The sequence below is a fragment of the Homo sapiens genome, chromosome 4 (assembly GCF_000001405.40).
Source record: "Homo sapiens chromosome 4, GRCh38.p14 Primary Assembly".
NCBI lineage: Eukaryota > Metazoa > Chordata > Mammalia > Primates > Hominidae > Homo > Homo sapiens.
The window spans coordinates 147,656,662-147,676,298 of record NC_000004.12 but is presented as its reverse complement, the minus strand read 5'-3'; the positions used below and the strand labels follow the sequence as shown (position 1 = coordinate 147,676,298).

At 38.4% G+C, this 19,637-nt stretch overlaps 1 protein-coding gene across 7 annotated transcripts in view; it reads left to right on the top strand.

Annotated features, from left to right (window-relative positions):
- PRMT9 (protein arginine methyltransferase 9) overlaps positions 1 to 19,637 on the top strand; it is a 46,379-nt gene that overhangs the window by 7,865 nt on the left and 18,877 nt on the right. For 3 of the 7 annotated variants that reach the window (NM_001304458.2, NM_138364.4, NM_001350142.2), the window contains 6 exons: positions 2,425 to 2,661; positions 3,173 to 3,340; positions 5,556 to 5,658; positions 7,654 to 7,760; positions 15,261 to 15,453; positions 18,324 to 18,507. In NM_001304458.2, the coding sequence (NP_001291387.1) occupies positions 2,426 to 2,661; positions 3,173 to 3,340; positions 5,556 to 5,658; positions 7,654 to 7,760; positions 15,261 to 15,453; positions 18,324 to 18,507 (991 nt within the window). In that variant the 5' untranslated portion in view covers position 2,425. Of the gene's footprint in view, positions 1 to 2,424; positions 2,662 to 3,172; positions 3,341 to 5,555; positions 5,659 to 7,653; positions 7,761 to 11,668; positions 12,118 to 15,260; positions 15,454 to 15,696; positions 15,795 to 18,323; positions 18,508 to 19,637 lie in introns of those variants that run through there. The other 4 variants (NM_001350144.2, NM_001350141.2, NM_001350143.2 and 1 more) reach the window with 4 other exon arrangements.

Below are 19,637 nucleotides of genomic sequence, written 5' to 3'. Positions count from 1 at the left end.
GATCATAACATTCCAAGACTTATGTTTCAGGATAAACTCAATTTAACAGAAAAGTGGAACTCTACATACTTTTGACAGATTGTAACTTTTGGTGACCTGTTGTTGTAGGACATTAGTCTGAGCAGTTACCAGTCATTGAGACAAAAAATACTTGGTATTAGTTTGCTTTGGGGAGATGTAACTAAGCAAAATTTCTAATTTGGACGGTAGCAGTTCAGAATTCGGGATAGTGTGAATGTGGCTTTTGCTATAGAATTTACCTTTGTTCTTGACTTACAATGGTTCTTGTTCTATACTCCTTTTGTCATCAAAAATAGCGTATCATTTACTCCCCACCAAAAGAATCTTCCAGGAGAAAAATATTTCCAAAGTAAATGATAGCTGCTTCTCCTGACACTTATTTGTGTAATAAAATGTGTCTGGAGTGTCTCAACTTCACAACCTTTTGTTAGTCCAGTAGCATCAGATTTAAACAAAATGTATTTAAATTGCTAATCAAGAAGATAATGTTTTTCCTAGTTAAAAGAAAAAGGGCATTCTGGCATTCTTATGTTTCACTGATACGTTGTATCATATCAGTGATACATATTGGGTCTTTCAATGAGATATGCTTTAATGGAGTAGATTATATATTTTTTAGATTAGAATTTCAGTTTAAGGAAATTGATAATGTATTAAATATCAAACCTAAGGGAAGCACAAACCCAGGAAATTATTAGGGGTGTGTTTAATACCCATTGCTGAATTAGTCTCACAAAAAATAATGATTACATACAATGTACATGGTACTATACTATGTACAATGGTAGTTGCAAATAAGAACAAGATAGTTCTACCTTCAAGATAACTTAAAATAACATATATTAACTGAAAACATTGAAATTTTCACCTAAATCATGAATGTCTCTTATTTGACATAGGACCATTGTTTTTTGTTAGAGTGCAGTCCCGTTTGGACTTCTAGAATGTCTCTTTTGCTTAAACCATACCTGGAATGAATAGTATGATTAAGTTTCTCTAGCTGGGCACGGTGGCTCACGCCTGTAATCTCAGCACTTTGGGAGGCCGAGGTGGGTGAATCACCTGAGGTCGGGAGTTTGCGACCAGCCTGACCAACATGGAGAAACCCCATCTCTACTAAAAATACAAAATTAGCCGGACGTGGTGGCGCATTCCTGTAATCCCAGCTACTTGGGAGGCTGAGGCAGGAGAATCGCTTGAACCTGGGAGGCAGAGGTTGCAGTGAGCCGAGATCGTGCCATTGCACTCCAGCCTGGGCAACAAAAGCGAAACTCTGTCTCAAAAAAAAGAAAAAAAAAGTTTCTCTAAACTTGGCAGAATGCTTAAAGGTACTTATGAAGAACTGTGAATGAAGAGGGTTCTACTAGCTCAGTTCTGTTCCATGTGTGGTCCACACATTGCTGCTCACCCACAGATTACTGGTTAATGACAGGTAAGTATAGAAATTGAGAGTAAGTGTTTGGAAATGGGTGTAGCAACTTGACATTGCTGTAAATCCAAGCATATGGTTAGGAAACTGTAATGCAGAAGAGAGTATATAGATCAGTTTGGGTGCTGGTGAAATCTGATATTACGTGAGCTCCATATGAATCATGTGCAATACAGCCATATCAGTCTGCAAACAATTAGATGTTTAAGAAAGGGAGGATTCTCTCCTTCTCAGTATTGCACTTGACTAGTCTTAAAAATAAAAAATTAAGAAGAAAAGGGAGGAGAGGTTCTTCATTACAGATAGTTTGAGAAGCACTGTTCTAGAGGGTTGGATAGGTTTTTTTTTCTCCTTTTATTTTTTATTTGCTCACATATAATTAAATAGTACTTAATTTTAAGTGACTTGCCTTTGATTTTCTTCCAGAGCATTTATTTAGCTTAGTGTCTGTAGGCACAATGGTTCCCTTTCTGCGGTGATATTTATTTACTTAGTATGATATTTAGTTAAAATACGTAATTATAATAACAAGTACAACTGACATAAACTGATCTGGCAGCAAATACAACTGACTCTTGATGACTATTCAACTCAGTTGCTGAGACAAAAGGCATGCCGGCCCCCACAAAGAGGAGCCTACTAAGCCATAGGCATTAGTGTGTTGTACAGAGGGAATGGAGTTGGCTAAATGGAGGATGACTGTGAGAGCTTCTGCTATACATTAGTATAACAGTAATTTATAGTCAGGTACTTGTTTGTCTCCCGGAATATATAAATGTAGTGGTTCAGAAAAGAAAGAAATACTGAGGCTTGCAGTCCTCACAGACAGCTTCCCAAAAGAGGTAGCACTTGGATTGGCAGGATTTGGGGTGCTGGCATGGAATTCCCAGGCCAAGTGAGTGGCATAAACAAAGGTACTGCAGTTGGTAGCATATAGTTGAATATATTTTGTCTTTTGTCATTTTTTACTCTAGAATGGGCTTTAGGGATGAAGCAGCTGGGTATTTTCATAAAGCAGTGAAGCTAAACCCTGATTTCAGTGATGCAAAGGAGAATTTTTATCGTGTTGCAAACTGGTTGGTGGAACGCTGGCACTTTATCATGCTTAATGACACCAAGAGGAATACAATTTATAATGCAGCAATCCAAAAGGCAGTTTGTTTGGGGTCCAAAAGTGTTTTGGACATTGGAGCAGGAACTGGAATACTAAGGTTGGTAGTAATTGCATTTTAATGGTATATACATGTATTCTAATGTAAATTAAAGATTTTGCCAGATATGGAAAATTTAACATTGGAATTTAAAAGTATTTCTTATAATCTTGTTAGGGTTATTTATGTAACTATTATGTTTTTTACTATAACTTTTATCAAGAACTGGACATAACTGCTAAGAAAAATTTGGGATTATTGAAATTTTGAATAATGAATTTGAGTCTTTTTTATGTTAACATTCTGATGGAATCTAGTTGTCTAAGTTAAAGCCCATTAGTATTCATTAAAGATACAATGCCAGTTGTGTCTTTAATAGAGTAGATCCCATGGTTTATTGTATGATTTGTTTCTAGACAAGAATATTAGTTTATTTTTTAATGCAGAGTGAGTAATGGTTGTGTTAAAGAATAAAAGGAAAAACCCCACATTTTAGCATCATCATTTCCTTAAAATTTGAGAAAATACAGTAGATTATTTTTTCTTGATGGAGAACTTTTTTCCCTTGTAGCATGTTTGCTAAAAAAGCTGGAGCACATTCCGTGTATGCCTGTGAGTTATCCAAGACCATGTATGAACTTGCCTGTGATGTCGTGGCAGCAAACAAGATGGAAGCAGGGATCAAACTCTTACATACGAAGTCACTTGACATAGAGATTCCAAAACATATTCCCGAAAGGTATTATCATGTAAACTAATTTTAGTGTTTATACTTCTCTATTTTTAAAAAACTAAGATATATTTCTAGCTTTTAGTCCAAACAAAATGCTACAAAACCCTTATTTTGTAAAGATATGGATATAGGATAAGATAGTTTATTATAAGACATATTTAAATAAAATTATATTCTTTATTAAAAATATTTAAAGATCTTGAGAAAAATTTGTGGCAAGGGATCAAATAAACTTGATCTTAGCAAGTTACTTTACCTTTGTTAATTTCAGTGTTCTCATTGTAAAAATGGATAATTCATCCTGTGTGGTCAATAACTGCTAAAAAGTTGTACTTAAAAAGAAAACACAAGCAGTTCAGATTCAATGGACTTATCACATTTTGTGTTAATATACTTGTTTAAAATGAAAGCTTTGGAAATGTCAGCTGTCAGTATATTTTGGCATGGGCCCTTTAAATGATTTGAATATAAGTCATATAAGTCTTGGCTTTTTAGTATGTTTTCTCACTCCGATCCATATCACAAGGGTGATGGAATTTTAGAGCTAGAAGGAATTTGAAAATGATCTGGTTCCACACTAGTCATTTTAGAGACAAAGTTTTCTTTATGTAGCACTTACTTTACCTGTCTCTTCTGGGTTTAACTTCCAATCTTACTTCAATTCAGTTTGTATTGAAAGAAGATGTTTTTGTGCCTTATATCAACTATGACTTTAAAAAGTTTTCTTCCATACATATAATAGTATTTATCTTAACATAGTACCTAACACTTTTCAATCGTCTCTACATTTATTCTCATGAAAAAATTCCTATTAGATTAATGCAAATGTCATACCCATTTTATAGAAAAAAACACTAAAAACACTGTCCTCAGTTGTCTTGTTCCACTTGGGCTGCCATAACGAAATACCACAGACTGGGTAGCTTTAACAATAGGCATTTATTTTCTCACAGTTCTGGAGGCTGGAAGACCATGATCAAGGTGTTGGCAAGTTTGGTTTCTTGTGAGGATTCTCTTCCTGGATTGCAGATTCTGCTTTCTTGTTGTGTCTTTACACGGCCTTTCCTTCTCCAGTATAGTCAGTTTCGGGGTTAAGGCCTTCAGTATGAATTTTGAGAGGGACATGAGTCAGCATGAATCAAAGTTACCTTAATTTAATCTACCTTTTTCTCACAGATAATGTTGTAGAAAGATCTATTGGTTTTGAACCAGGAGCTATGGATTCCAGATTAGACTATTATTAATTTATTTTGACCTTAAGCAAATGTCTAGACCTCAAGGTATTGGACCAGATGATTTGAAACACCTTTCACATTCTAAGTGTATGCAATCATAAATACTGGATATTTTCTGTATATAAGAAGTTGGGTTTAGCCACTGTGGAGGATACCAAAGTCATTCTTACCCTCAAGGAACTTACAGTCTAGATAGGAAGATAAAGAATATTCATGAAACTTTTCTTATCTTCTAACTACATAAATGAGTGATACTGGCAATAAATGCTGAAGGAGTTCAGAGAAGGGAGAAACTATTTTCGTATGTCTTTGAGTAAAGTTTTCTAGAAAGAAAGAATGGACAGAAGAGCAGAGTTCTGTGGACGAGGCTTTTTCTAAGACTCAGGCAGTGGGTAAAGCAAGAGAAGTGATAAGAGAGGCACAGTCAACATATAGGAGGCAAACATGGATGATGCAGTATCATAGAAGGTAGAGATAGATTTTGAGAAGGAGGGCTCTCTCCTGCAATCAGTGTTATTTGGAGATAAAAAAATGATAACTGAGAAAGAGGATTCATTTTGATAAGTAGGGAGTTATTGATGGTAGAGAATATTTTTATAGACTGTTGGAGTTGGAAGTCTTCTTGCTTGGCATTAAGGAAGAGACTGATAAAGGTAATGGGTGTGAACCACTCTTAAAGATGTAGGCAATGAAAAAATAGCCTGGAGAGAGAACAAGGCCAAGTGAAGTTTGTCATTCCCCACCTCCCCCCACCCTCCATCTTCCAAACCAAGGAGAAGGAGCCAGTGGAGAACAAAGGAGCTTAAGGAACATTCGAGTAAAGTTCCTCAAGATTCAGTAGTAGATCTTAAAAATGAAATGTATTAGGATATATTACATATGGACTGTTTCTATAATATACTCTTCCTTTCTCCTCTCAGCTTTGACATCTTTATATAATAGCATGATATTTTACTTACATATATCTTTAAAAAATCATTCTATAGAGTGTCCCTAGTTGTAACAGAAACTGTCGATGCAGGTTTATTTGGAGAAGGAATTGTGGAGAGTTTGATTCATGCATGGGAGCATTTACTTTTACAGCCAAAGGTAAGCAGTATGAAAATACTTACAACTGATTAAGAATTCGTTATTTCATCAGAGATTTATTGAATCCTTAGTATATTTACAAAACAATATGAAATATATTTTCCATTGCCAAGGTGTACATACTGTGTGGTTGGAAAGAAATCTATGCAAAAAACTTTTACTGGCCGGGTGCAGTGGCTCATGCCTGTAATCCCAGCACTTTGGGAGGCCAAGGTGGGTGGATCACCTGAGGTCGGGAGTTCGAGACCAGCCTTACCAACATGGAGAAACCCCATCTCTACTAAAAATACAAAATTAGCCGGGTGTGGTGGCGCATGCCTGTAATCCCAGCTACTTGGGAGGGTGAGGCAGGAGAATCGCTTGAACCCGGGAGGTGGAGGTTGCAGTGAGTTGAGGTCACGCCATTGCACTCCAGCCTGGGCAACAAGAGCGAAACTCCGTCTCAAACAAAACAAAACAAAACAAAACAAAACAACATAAAAACATTTACTAACAACATGATTCAATGTATAATTATGTGCCTGAATGAGATATACAGGCAAAAATACTCCAGGGAAGAATTCATAGGAATTGAGATTACTTTATGGACGGACTGACTATGGAATTCTTGAGTAGGGTTGAAAAACGGAGGTACTTTCAGTCTTACAGACCTCACTGCCTAGAATTTTGGCAAATTATCAGAAGGGAGTATAGTAATAGCTGGTTTGGTTCTGTTTTCAGGTACCTGTTGAACCCAGGCTATGGCTTGGACAGGACTATTATAATTGCCAAATTATATTTTGCATTGAAATCCTCTATTGTAGCCCACAAATCATTGATTTGGTTTATATGATATGTGTTATCAATGAAAGGATTTTAATATGTAATAAAAATTCAATATTAACAGAAAATTATTTGGATTTAAAATTGCTAGTTAAAGGTTGAAAAGAGCAGTTTTTTTTTTTTGAAGTAGCAACAGGGTTTCACCATGTTGGCCTGGCTGGTCTTGAACTCCTGGCCTTAAGTGATCCACCTGCCTTGGTCTCCCAAAGTGCTGGGATTGCAGGTGTGAGCGAACGCTCCTGGCCAAGCAATTTATTTTTTAAGTAGGTATTGATACTGATTTCTTGATCAAAGTCATACCCAAGTCTTTTTTTCTATGCAGACTTACAGTCCTTTCCCCCCCATCCTCCCTCTTTTCTTGTATCCTTTGCATTTGTATTGTGAGAAAAAAATATATATATTCATACATATATAGCAATGAAAATACTTATTCTGTTTTTTTGAGATGGGGTCTCACTCTCTTGCCCAGGTAGGAGCACAGTGGCACGTTTTTTAGCTTACTGCAGCCTCAAACTCCCGGGCTCAAGTGGCCCTCCCACCTCAGCCTCGCAATGTCACCACACTTGGCTAATTAAAAAAAACATTTTTTTTCTGTAGAGACAGGGTCTTGCTATGTTGCCTAGGCTGGTCTCAAACTCCTGGCCTCAAGTGGTCCTCTCTCCTTGGCTTTCCAAAGTGCTGGAATTGCAGGTGTGAGCTGCCAGGCCTGGCCAAAAATACTTTTTTTTTTTTAAAGATGGAGTCTTGCTCTGTAGCCCAGGCTGGAGTGCAGTGGCGTGATCTCGGCTCACTGCAGCCTCTGCCTCCTGGGTTCAAGCGATTCTCCTGCCTCAGCCTCCCAAGTAGCTGGGACTACAGGCGCGTGCCACCACGCCCAGCTAATTTTTTATGTTTTTAGTAGAGATGGGGTTTCACCGTGTTAGCCAGGATGGTCTTGATCTCCTGACCTCGTGATCCGCCTGCCTTGGCCTCCTAAAGTGCTGGGATTACAGGCGTGAGCTACAGTGCCCAGCCCAAAAATATTTTTTAAGGAAGAAAAAAAAACCTTTAACTTACTTTATCCTTACTTATTGTCTTTTTAGGTTTTTTAAATTATATTTTCATAGCTTATCATTATGCACACACATTTTTACATACATGTGATAACATAATTCTTATTGTTATTTTTTTTAGACCAAAGGTGAAAGTGCTAATTGTGAAAAGTATGGGAAAGTTATACCAGCAAGTGCTGTTATATTTGGGATGGCAGTAGAATGTGCAGAGATAAGAAGACATCATAGGTAAGTGTATTAGTCCATTTTCACACTGCTATAAAGCACCTCCCAAGATTGGGTAATTTATAAAGGAAAGAGGTTTAAATGACTCACAGTTCTGAATGCTGAGGAGGCCTCAGGAAACTTACAAACATGGCAGAAGGGGAAGCAGGCACGTCTTATATGGCAGCAGGCAGGTTATGGGGGGCAGAGAGAGAGAGAGAGACAGCACGAGACCACGTGGGTGAGTGTAGGAAAAACTACCATTTGTAAAACCATCAGATCTTGTGAGAATTCACTCCCTATCATGAGAACAGTGTGGAAGAAACCGTTCTCATAATCCAGTCACTTCCCTCCCTCAACTTGTGGGGATTACAATTTGAGATGAGATTTGGGTGGGGACACAGAGTCAAACCATATCAGTAAGTGACTATTTAAATAGTAAATATTGAAAAATAGTAATTATAAAGAGAATATTACAGAGGTTAGTTAGTGAATATGTATTTGGGTGAGGATTTGTAGTTTTGTGACCTTTAAATTCATGCTGCTTACACTGGTCTTATTTTTTTTTTTGCCTATTTTAAATGAAACTTCATGGTTAAAGCCAGTTTTTTTTTAATGGAAAATTAATTTTGATACAACTTAGGACTCTAGTTGTGATATATTCATGTAGAAAAATATTAAGTTCTGACTGATTTTAGGTGAAGTTGGAATGAAAGATTCCACTGTGAAAATAAATTTTGGTCTAATTACTTCAATTTCCCTTTTCTTAATAATTTCACTAATACTGTAATGATTTGTAGTTGGGCTGGATGGAATTTTAGGATCTTTCTAAGCTTCTTCCAATAACTTAATCGTAAATGTAGCATATAAATATTTTAGGACATACTGATAAGTGGTTTGAAAAAAATGAAAACCACTGTGAACCCCTCACCAGTAAGTAACTACTTTTCATCTTTGTTATATATTCCTTTACTCTTTTTCTTTGTATGTTACAGGGAGATAGTAAAAATGTTTAGAGATTGGTAGGACACAGGGCACTAACCAGACAGTGGACTTAATTAGCAGATTGGCTGAATTAGAATGTACTGGTTGAATATTAGTTCCATTTAAGTAAATGTAGGTGTGTGTAAATTTAATTTTGTTTAAAAACTCAGTAAATATATTTGCTTTTCCTTTGTGAGCCTTTTCATGTAATAGATTTGGTTCATGACTTTAAAAAATCAACTTCTTGGTGTTGTAGTTACTGGAGTTTAGAATTTTTGGATTGCTTCCACTTTTCTGCTTTTAAGAAGTAGGATAAACATCTTTGCACTTATGTCTTGTGGACTTGTTTCTATTATTTTCTTAGGATAAATTCCTTAATAAGGAATTACTGGGTTAAAGAATATGTACAGTTTTCAGGCTGTAGGGATGCCTTACTGCATTGCCCACCAGAAAAGCTAGGTTGTGTCTTGCTGAGATTTCTTGCTGTAACATGGCTGGACCCCTTCCCTCAATAGTTCCTCTTTAGGAGACCACTAATATTGTTTGTCTAAGCAAAGGAGAAATTAAATGGCTGGTATCTACATTTTGAAAAAGAATAACTTTATTATTGACTCACTTATTTAGCAAATGAGTGCCTGATTACAGTAGAAGCACCATAGGAGCTTTTGTAAAAATAAAAAGGGTTTACAGTTTGATTGAATAGGTGTAGGTCTGGATGAATGAGGCCAATATCTTTTTTTTTTTTTTTTTTTTTTAAACAAAGTTCAGCATTATGGGTTGAGGACTATGAAGAAAGGTGTTGACAAAATAAATGTGAGTGCTACTGTTTTACCTGGTAGAAACATTTATAAATCATTATTATAAAAATTGCCATTTGGCACCTAATCAGCTGAATTTAATGCTCTTCTCAATAAGCAAATGTTTAAGAATATCCAAGGAAACTAAACTTGCCTTATTAGATATAAAAACCTAGAAGTAAAAAACAGCAATGTATTGATGCAGAAAGACAAATACATCAGTGGAACACAATAAAGAATCTAGATACAGACCTTTGAATTTATATGGATTTAGTATATGATACAGGTGTGATATTTCAGATCATTGGGGGAAGGGATAAACTATTCAGGAAATGGAAATGGTGTGCTTCATTTGGGGAAAAAAGTTAGATCCCTACTTTTAATTCTGGGTGAGTTAAACATCTGAGGGCCAAAAAATCTATTTGATGGAGACCTTCCAAAGCAAAACACAGAGTAGGGCCCAGAAGCCACAGAACATTGACAAATGTGACCACATTTTAAAACAATTGAAAAAAATCTATCTGGTGAAGGATACTATAAAGTTAAAAAACAAGTGACAGACTGAGATAAATATTTGCAACTTTTATAACAAAGCATGAATATAATTGTCTATTAATCAGAGAAATGGAAATTAAAACCAATGGGATAACAATTTCTAACTGCTTATGTTAGCACATTAAAGTTGTTTGATATCTTATTTTCTCATAGGTTTATGGAAAATTTATACACTGTTAGTGCAACATTTTAGTAGCTTGATTTGGCCTTTTCTAGCAACACTAAAGATGTTTGTGTCCTTGATCTAGCATTTCCGTGTCTGGGAATCTATCCTGATAAATACTCATACATGTGTGCAGTGATGTGTGTACAAGGATGTTCACTATAATACTGTAATTGGAAAAATCAAAGCAAACAAATTATCTGAATGTTTATATTAGTAAGAAAGTATTTCAATAAATTATGATGTAACAGTCACCTAATGTAGTATTATGCAAAAAAATGGTTAAGGTACATGTATAGACAAGGAAGGAAGTTTATGGCATACTATTAAGTGAGAAAGACAAGGCATAATCTTAGGAGCAGTGAGCATACCTAGAACCCAGATCTTGGTTTTTAAATACCATTTCTCACCAAAAGGAACTATAGCTTCTTGGAGCAATGGCTGATTCCAGTACTGGGGTGGAATAGATTCAATATGATTCTGGGGCATCCTGTATTAGAAAGTGAGGAAGTGCTCAAAAAGGGATTTGGTGGGGGAAAGGGGAGCAAAAGGACACAGCAGCATGCTTGAAGACTCTCCCACTGGCCAAATCTGGGACAATTTAATCACCAAAATAAATAAGGGCCCTAATGGATTGAAACCCACTGAATAAGAATCCCTGAATTTCTATGTATCTTAAGCAGATTAATAAATACATAAATGGGGATAAAAGTACAGCTCGTCCTTACAGTAAATGCCAACTAATAGTATAGAAAAAATGAGGCAGAATTAGTTTTTGGAAGGCAAGAATCATCAATAGATCCTAAATCAATGGAGGGAAATCTGATGAGGATCAGGGCATTTATATAGTTTCAAAGTATCTTTCAAATTACGACAAAAGGAAAGATTGTAAGTATATAGGGAAGAAGCCAGACAACATCTTTTTTTTTTTTTTTTTTTGTTTAGACAGAGTTTCGCTCTTGTTTCCCAGGCTGGAATGCAGTGGCGCGATCTTGGCTCACTGCAACCTCCACCTCCCATGTTCAAGTGATTCTCCTGCCTCAGCCTCCCAAGTAGCTGGGATTACAGGCATGCCTGCCACCATGCCCGGCTGATTTTTTGTATTTTTTTTTAGTAGAGAGGGGTTTCATCATGTTGGCCAGGTTGGTCTCGAACTCCCGACCTCAGGTGATCTGCTTGCCTCGGCCTCCCCAAGTGCTGGGATTACAGGTGTGAGCCACTGTGCCCGGCCTGTTTTTTTAAAAAATTTAATTTAATTTAATTTTACTTTAAGTTCTGGGATACATGTGCAGAACATGCAGGTTTGTTACATAGGTATACATGTGCCATGGTGGTTTGCCGCACCTATCAACCCATCATCTAGGTTTTAAGCCCCGCATGCATTAGTTATTTGTCCTAATGCTCTCCCTCCCCTTGCCCCTATCCCCCAACAGGCCCTGGTGACCACACAACATCTTAACCAAGTGATTAAAGCTAACATCAACAGTAAGATTGCTCCAGATTTGATGCTTTGAGGATGCATTGCTTATATAGTACCACATCCAAAATGTACAGCCTGCAATCTAATTGTGAGAAAACCTTGGACAAACCCTAGTTGGGACCATTCTGTAAAACAATTGGCCTACCTTCTTAAAAAATGTCAGTGACATGAGAGACAAAGCAAAGATGAAGAACTGTTTAAGATGAAAGGAGATTAAAGAGACAGGACAGCTAAATTGAAACTATGACCTGTATTGGGGAAAAAAACTATATATGTATATTTTGATCTTGCTGTGTTGCCCTGGTTGGAGCACAGTGGCTCAATCATGGCTCACTGCAGTCTTGACCTCCCAAGCTCAAGTGATCCTCCTACTTCAGCCTCCTGAGGAGCTGCCAACCACAGGTGTGCACCACTATGTCTGCTTAATTTTTTAAAGTTTTATAGAGACAGGGTCTTGCTGTCTTGCTGTGTTGAACTCCTGGACTCAAGGGATCCTTCTGCCTTAGCCTCCTAAAGTGCTTGGATTACAGGCATGAGCCACTGTGCCCTGCCTGCATTATTGATTTTTGATTCAGTTGACAAATACAGAATATGAACTGTAGGTTAGATAATACTGAATTTGATTGCTGTGATTAAGAGAATATTCTCATTTTTAATAAAGATACACAAGTATCTTTTGAGAGATAAATAGGCATGATGAATATAACCTACTCACAAATGATACAGAATGTTTCAGTAATGTACAAATAGAGTGTTATATACAAATATTAAAAAAAGGTATGGAAGGATACACATTAAACTTTTAACAGTGAAGAAATGAGAGGACGAGTACTGTGAAGGTGGACTTTTTACCATATGGCTTGAAGTTTTGACAATATATATTCACGTAGTTTATAATACATTAGCAAGAAATTGTCTGGCTGGGCGCAGTGACTCACGCCTTTAATACCATGACTTTGGGAGGCAAAGGTGGGCAGATGGCCTGAGCTCAGGAGTTTGAGAGCAGCCTGGGCAACACAGCGAAACCCTGTCTCTATAAAAAATACAAAAATTAGCTGGGCGTGGTGGCATGCACCTGTAGTCCCAGCTACTCAGGAAGTGGAGATAGGAGAATTGCTTGAGCCTGGTAGATGGAGGTTGTTGCAGTGAGCCAAGATCACACCTTTGTACTCCAGCCTGGGCGACAGCATGAGACCTTGTCTCACACACAAAAAATTGTCACATCTTTTTTGTTTCAACTTGTGACTTTTAATTTTGAGTTATTGAAATCATAGTAGGCTGGGCGCGGTGGTTCATGCCTGTAATCTCAGCACTTTGGGAGGCTGAGGCGGGCGGATCATGAGGCCAGGAGATCGAGACCATCCTGGCTAACATGGTGAAACCCCGTCTCTACTAAAAATACAAAAAAGTAGCCAGGCGTGGTGGCAGGCGCCTGTAGTCCCAGCCACTCGGGAGGCTGAGGCAGGAGAATGGCGTGAACTGGGGAGGCTGAGCTTGCAGTGAGCCGAGATTGTGCCACTGCACTCCAGCCTGGGCGACAGAGCAAGACTCTGTCTCAAAAAAAAAAAAAAAAATTATTAGTAGTTCCATTTGCTGATTCATCTTTTGAGAGTGTAATAATCTGTAAAAGTAGATTATTTGAACTTTTGAAATTTTATAAAGGCAAATTCTCTTAAAAAAGTGCCACTGAGATGAGGTAAGGTGAGATGAGGTTGGAGTAGTTTCCTTTTACAAAATGTTTAAATTTTCATTGTAAATTTTCTTTTTTGTTTTTTTTGTTTTTTTGAGACAGGGTCTCGCTCTGTTGCCTAGGCTGGAGTGCAGTGATGTGATCATAGCTCATTGCAGCCTTGAACTCCTAGGCTCAGGTGATCCTCCTGCTTCAGCCTCCCAAGTAACTAGAACTCTAGGCACACACCACCATACCTGGCTATTTTATTTTATTTTACTTAGAAGAATCTTGCTATGTTGTCCATGCTGGTCTTTAACTCCTGGACTCAAGTGATCCTCCCACCTTGGCCTCCCAAAGTACTGGGATTACAGGTGTAAACCACCATGCCTGGCCCAATGTAAATTTTTGTTGACATCAAACATTGTTATAGCAAGTGTGTAAGCCATAAGTTTATGATTTGATGAATTTTCATGAAGTTGATAGACCTGGGTAATCAGTGCTGACATCAAGGACCAGAATATTACCGCTATATAATATAAAGTGTGCAGGAAGAAACCCCATCTCTTTACCAGTGCCCCACTCTCCCTAGAGCACCTACTATCTGACTTCTAACACCGTAGATTAGTGTTGCTTGTTTTGAATTTTATACAAATAGAACCATACAGTGTGACTTGTTTTTGCGTGCCTAGCTTCTTTTGTGTTTAGTTTGTTTATTCTCATTGCGGAATCATACTCCATTATATGACTATACTAGATTTGTCTGTTATATTACTGATAGATGTTTAGGTTATATCAGTTTTTTTTCGCTATCAGAAGCAGTGTAGCTATAAACATTCTTGAACATTCTTTTGGTGATAATATGTATTAATTTCTGTTGACTATATTCTCAGAAGTGGAAATGCCAAACACTGTGAGGTTCCTACATTAAGAATGAATCTGAATAGGTATGCTCAGCTCGAATTGGTACTACAAAGTAGTCTTCCAAAGTGATCTTACTGATTTTATACTCCAATGGTGTATGAGACTGTATCCTTACCATACTTGCTATTGACTACTTGTTTTTTTCCATTCTGTCAGATGCGTAGTATGCATTGTGAATTTTTTTTTTTTTTTTTTTTTTTTGAGATGGAGTCTCGCTCTGTTGCCCAGGCTGGAGTGCAGTGGCGTGATCTCGGCTCACAGCAAGCTCAGCCTTCCGGGTTCACTGCATTCTCCTGCCTCAGCCTTCCAAGTAGCTGGAACTACAGGCGCCCGCCAACACGCCCGGCTAATCTTTTGTATTTTTAGTAGAGACAGGGTTTCACTGTGTTAGCCAGGATGGTCTCGATCTCCTGACCTCGTGATCCACCCGCCTTGGCCTCCCAAAGTGCTGGGATTACAGGCATGAGCCACCGCGCCTGGCCTGCATTGTGATTTTAACTCCATTTCCTGGGTGGCTGTTGAAGCTGAGCACCTTTTCTCATGTGCTTATTGGCCATTTGGATATGTTCTTTGGTGAAGTGTCTAAGTCTTTTGCCCATTTTTGTTTTTTATTGATATGTAGGAATTTTAAAATATATTTTGGACATGAGCCCTTTATTGAATATAGTTATTACAAATATCTTAGTTGCTTGCTTTTTACTTTATTACAGGGTGTTTTTTTTTTTTTTTAGTGAGCAGACATTCTTAATTTTATTATAGACCTATTTATAGTTGTTTTCCTTTATAGTTAGTGGTTTTATATGTGTGTGTATTATGTAGTTATGTTTAAGAAATCTTTGCTCATGAGGTTTTATTTCATTTTTGTATTTTTTTCTGGACTCAGTATTAGATATGTTACTTGATTCTAAAAAAATCCATCTTCCTACCCCTCCCCTATTTTCTCTCTCTCCAGAGTGGGTATTAAGGACATTGCTGGTATCCATTTGCCAACAAATGTGAAATTTCAGAGTCCGGCTTATTCTTCTGTAGATACTGAAGAAACAATTGAACCTTATACAACTGAAAAGATGAGTCGAGTTCCTGGAGGATATTTGGCTTTGACAGAGTGCTTTGAAATTATGACAGTAGATTTCAACAACCTTCAGGTGAAAAAAATTCAGTTACTATTTTCAAGCATTAAATTTCATGCATTGTTTAAAATAATATATAGGACAGACAGTCTTTATTTTATGAGTTTGCATGAAGATTCCACTTATTGTATGTAAAGAAAATGATTAAAGGGTAATTAGAATTTCTTCCTGAAATTATTTGCTTTCTTCCTTGGTTTCCTTGCTTTTCTTTCCTTTCTTTCTTTTCTTTCTTTGACAGTGTCTTGCTCTGTCACCCAGGCTGGAGTGCAGTGGCACCATCTCGGCTCACTGCAGCCTCGACCTCCCAGGTTCAAGCAATCCTCCTGCCTCAGTCCCCCAAGTAGCTGGGACTACAGGCATGTACCACTGTGCCCGGCTAATTTTTATATTTTTAGTAGAGATGCGGTTTTGCCATGTTGCCCACGCTGGTCTCAGACTCTGAGCTCAAGCGATCTGCTGACCTTGGCCTCCCCAAGTGTTAGGATTACAGGCATAGGAGCCACTGTGCCAGCCTGCTTATTTAAATACAGAGAAAACCCCTCCTAAGATTGTTGGGAATATATAGGGTGCCAGGTGCTTTCACTTGTGTTCTTAGGCAGCTCTTATGACATACTGCCATACAATTATAATTATCCTTGTGTTACACAGATGAGGAAATTGTTGCTCACATTAAATAATTTCCCCCCAAGTTATTCAATATGTGAATACAGGGGCAGGAATTCTAACCTAGGTCTTTCTGACTTATCTCTATATCATGCTGCCATTTCAAATTAACAAAATGAACAATAATCCAAATCTCTAGGTTGTATGTGCATTATGGTGACCAGCCTTCATGGTTTGTCCAGGACTGAAGGGGGTTCCAAGACTTGAGACTTTCTATTTTGAAACTAAGACATTCCTAGGAAAAGCAAGAGAAGCTTATCACTCTAGTGTGTGTGTTAGTGAATGGCGTGAGGATGTTCTGTATAAAGAAAGTGCCCAGCCAGGCGAGGTGGCTCATGCCTGTCCTCCCAGCACTTTGGGAGGCCGAGGCAGGTGGATTACCTGAGGTCAGGAGTTCAGGACCAGCCTAGCCAACATGGTGAAACCCTGTCTCTACTAAAAAAATACAAAAAATTAGCTGGGTGTGGTGGCGGGTGCCTCTAATCCCAGCTACTTGGGAGGCTGAGATAGGAGAATTGCTTGAACCCAGGAGGCGGAGTTTGCATGAGCCAAAATTGCGCCATTGCACCCCAGCCTGAGCAACAAGAGCGAAACTCCGTCTCAGAAAAAAAAAAAAAAGAAAAGAAAGTGCCCAAAGAAATTGGAAAGGTTACATAGAATTCTCTAAAGATCTTTAATAGGTAAGGTTAAATGTTCAAGTACATAAATGTTGTAAGTGAAACCTGTTTGGAGATAGAAGACTCTGTGAGGGTAATTTTAGCCTAAGATTTTTTTTTCTTTTTTTTCTTTTTTTTTTGAGACAGAGTTTCCCTCTTGTTGCCTAGGCTGGAGTGCAGTGGTGCGATCTTGGCTCACTGCAGCCTCCACTTTTCGGGTTCAAGTGATTCTCCTGCTTCAGCCTCCCGAGTAGCTGGGATTACAGGCACCCACCACCATGAGCGGCTAATTTTTGTATTTTTAGTAGAGATGGTGTTTCACCATGTTGGCCAGGCTGGTCTCGAACTCTTTTTTTTTTTTTTGAGGTGGACTCTCACTCTGTCGCCCAGGCTGGAGTGCAGTGGCGTGATCTCGGCTCACTGCAAGCTCCACCTTCCGGGTTCACGCCATTCTCCTGCCTCAGCCTCCCGAGTAGCTGGGACTACAGGTGCCCGCCACCATGCCCGACTACTTTTTTGTATTTTTAGTAGAGACGGGGTTTCACCGTGTTAGCCAGGATGGTCTCAATCTCCTGGCCTCGTGATCCGTCCGCCTTGGCCTCCCAAAGTGCTGGGATTACAGGTGTGAGCAACCGTGCCCGGCCCCAAACTCTTGACCTCAATGATCCACCCACCTTGGCCTCCTAAAGTGCTGGGATTACAGGCGTGAGCCACCATGCCCAGCTAGCCTAAGATTTTTATAATTTAATAGAAGCTTTCCTTTATTATTTGTTACCACATTGTTCTTGAGGAGATCTGGAACTAATTTAACAATTTGGCCTTGCTTACTGAGGCTGAGCTTTCTGAGCTTCAAGAGCATTCCTTACCTGTTACGACTTTCAATAGCAAGTAACACGTTTGTAGCTGCCATTTACCCCCGAACTATCCTTTTATTATTTTAAGGCTTTTTAAAATTTTAATTTTTCTTAGCCACACACAAATCTTACTAAGGTTTTAATTTCAAAAGTCATGCCTGCCTGTTTAAGACTTTCAAGCAATACAGGATAGAAAGGAAAAAGTCCTAGTATTTTTCTTCCTTTTTAAAATCTCAACCCTTTCCCCAGGTCACTAGTTTGAAGTACATCTTTCCAGACTTTCTTTTCTGTACACACACACACATACACACTCACTCTCTCTCTTTCTCACTCTCTCTCTTAAACACATGCTCTCTCTCACTACTCCCTCTCTCTCTCTACCCCCCTCCATCCCCCTCTATTTTCTAAACAAAACAATCTCCACTGCTTTGTCACTTAACCTTTTCAATTCAACAATATATTATGGACTTCTTTCCATATCAGCAATATATATCTGCTTCATTCTTTTTAATAATAGCTGCATGGTATTCCAATAAAATAGGTCAGAGCTTCCCAACCAGTGGGCCTTACATGGTTATAGGTGTGCCAAGATACTGAATCCCTAAGGGAGCTGGGCAGGACTAAGAACTCCAGAGATGGAAAATGGTAAGATACTGAGGCAAGTATATATGAAATATATAAAACCGTTTCATTCCTTCTACATTTTTCTCAGGAATTAAAAAGTCTTGCAACTAAAAAGCCTGATAAGATTGGTATTCCTGTTATTAAAGAAGGCATACTAGATGCTATTATGGTTTGGTTTGTGCTCCAGCTTGATGATGAACATAGTTTATCCACAAGTCCTAGTGAGGAAACATGTTGGGAACAGGCTGTCTACCCCGTACAGGACCTTGCAGGTAGGTCTTGTCCATTTTTTTTTTTAACCTCTTGCTTTAATCTTCTAAGTATTCAAGTCAGTGGCAAAAAAAAAATTACTTTGGATATGAAGGTTTCAGTCAAAGGAGGTTGGTTAAATCTTTCAGAACTTCATTTTTTTTCAAAAGAAATTTGAAATAGGTAATATTTGTGGTTAAGAGAGACAAACACAACTCTGTTGCATAGCATTTGAAAAACCTATCATTATTTCTTCAGCTCTGATTTTTCTTTTTTCTTTTTTTTTTTTTAACGACAGAGTCTCGCTCTTTTGCCCAGGCCGATTGCAGTGGCTTGATCTCGGCTCACTGCAAGCTCCGCCTCCCGGGTTCACGCCATTCTCCTGCCTCAGCCTTCCGAGTAGCTGAGACTACAGGCGCCCGCTGCTGCGCCTGGCTACTTTTTTGTATTTTTAGTATAGACCGAGTTTCACCGTGTTAGCCAGGATGGTCTCGATCTTCTGACCTCGTGATCCACCCACCTCGGCCTCCCAAAGTGCTGGGATTACGGGCGTGAGCCACTGCGCCCGGCCGATTTTTCTAGTTATCAGTAGATGAAAGAAATCCTGCTCCATTATTTCATGGAAAGTACTGGAAAAGTATTGCTTTTAGTGCAGGAGTTCTTACTCCTTAGAGAAGCCGATAACGTCTGTGGAGCCCTGCATCATAAAAATGTACACACTCATATAAGCACAAAATTTTTCAGTTTTAGAGAGTTCATGAATCTGAACTTCCCTAGGGAAGTTCTGTATAAAGATTTTTTTTTTGTATGGAAATTTTTTTTACAGTGATTCGATGGGTTTCAGTAAGTTTAAAGTAGTTGAATTATATAGAAAAACTACCCTTTTTAGGCTGGGTATGGTGGCTGACACCTGTAACCCTAGTACTTTGGGAGGCCCAGGTGGGAGGATTGCTTGAGGCCAGGAGTTTAAACCAGCCTGGGCAACATAGCAAGACCTCATTTCTTTTTTTCTTTCTTTCTTTTTTTTTTTTTTTTTTTTTTTTGAGACAGAGTCTCGCTCTGTTGCCCAGGCTGGAGTGCAGTGGCGCAATCTCAGCTCACTGCAACCTCCGCCTCTTGGGTTCAAGTGATTCTCCTGCCTCAGTCTCTTGAG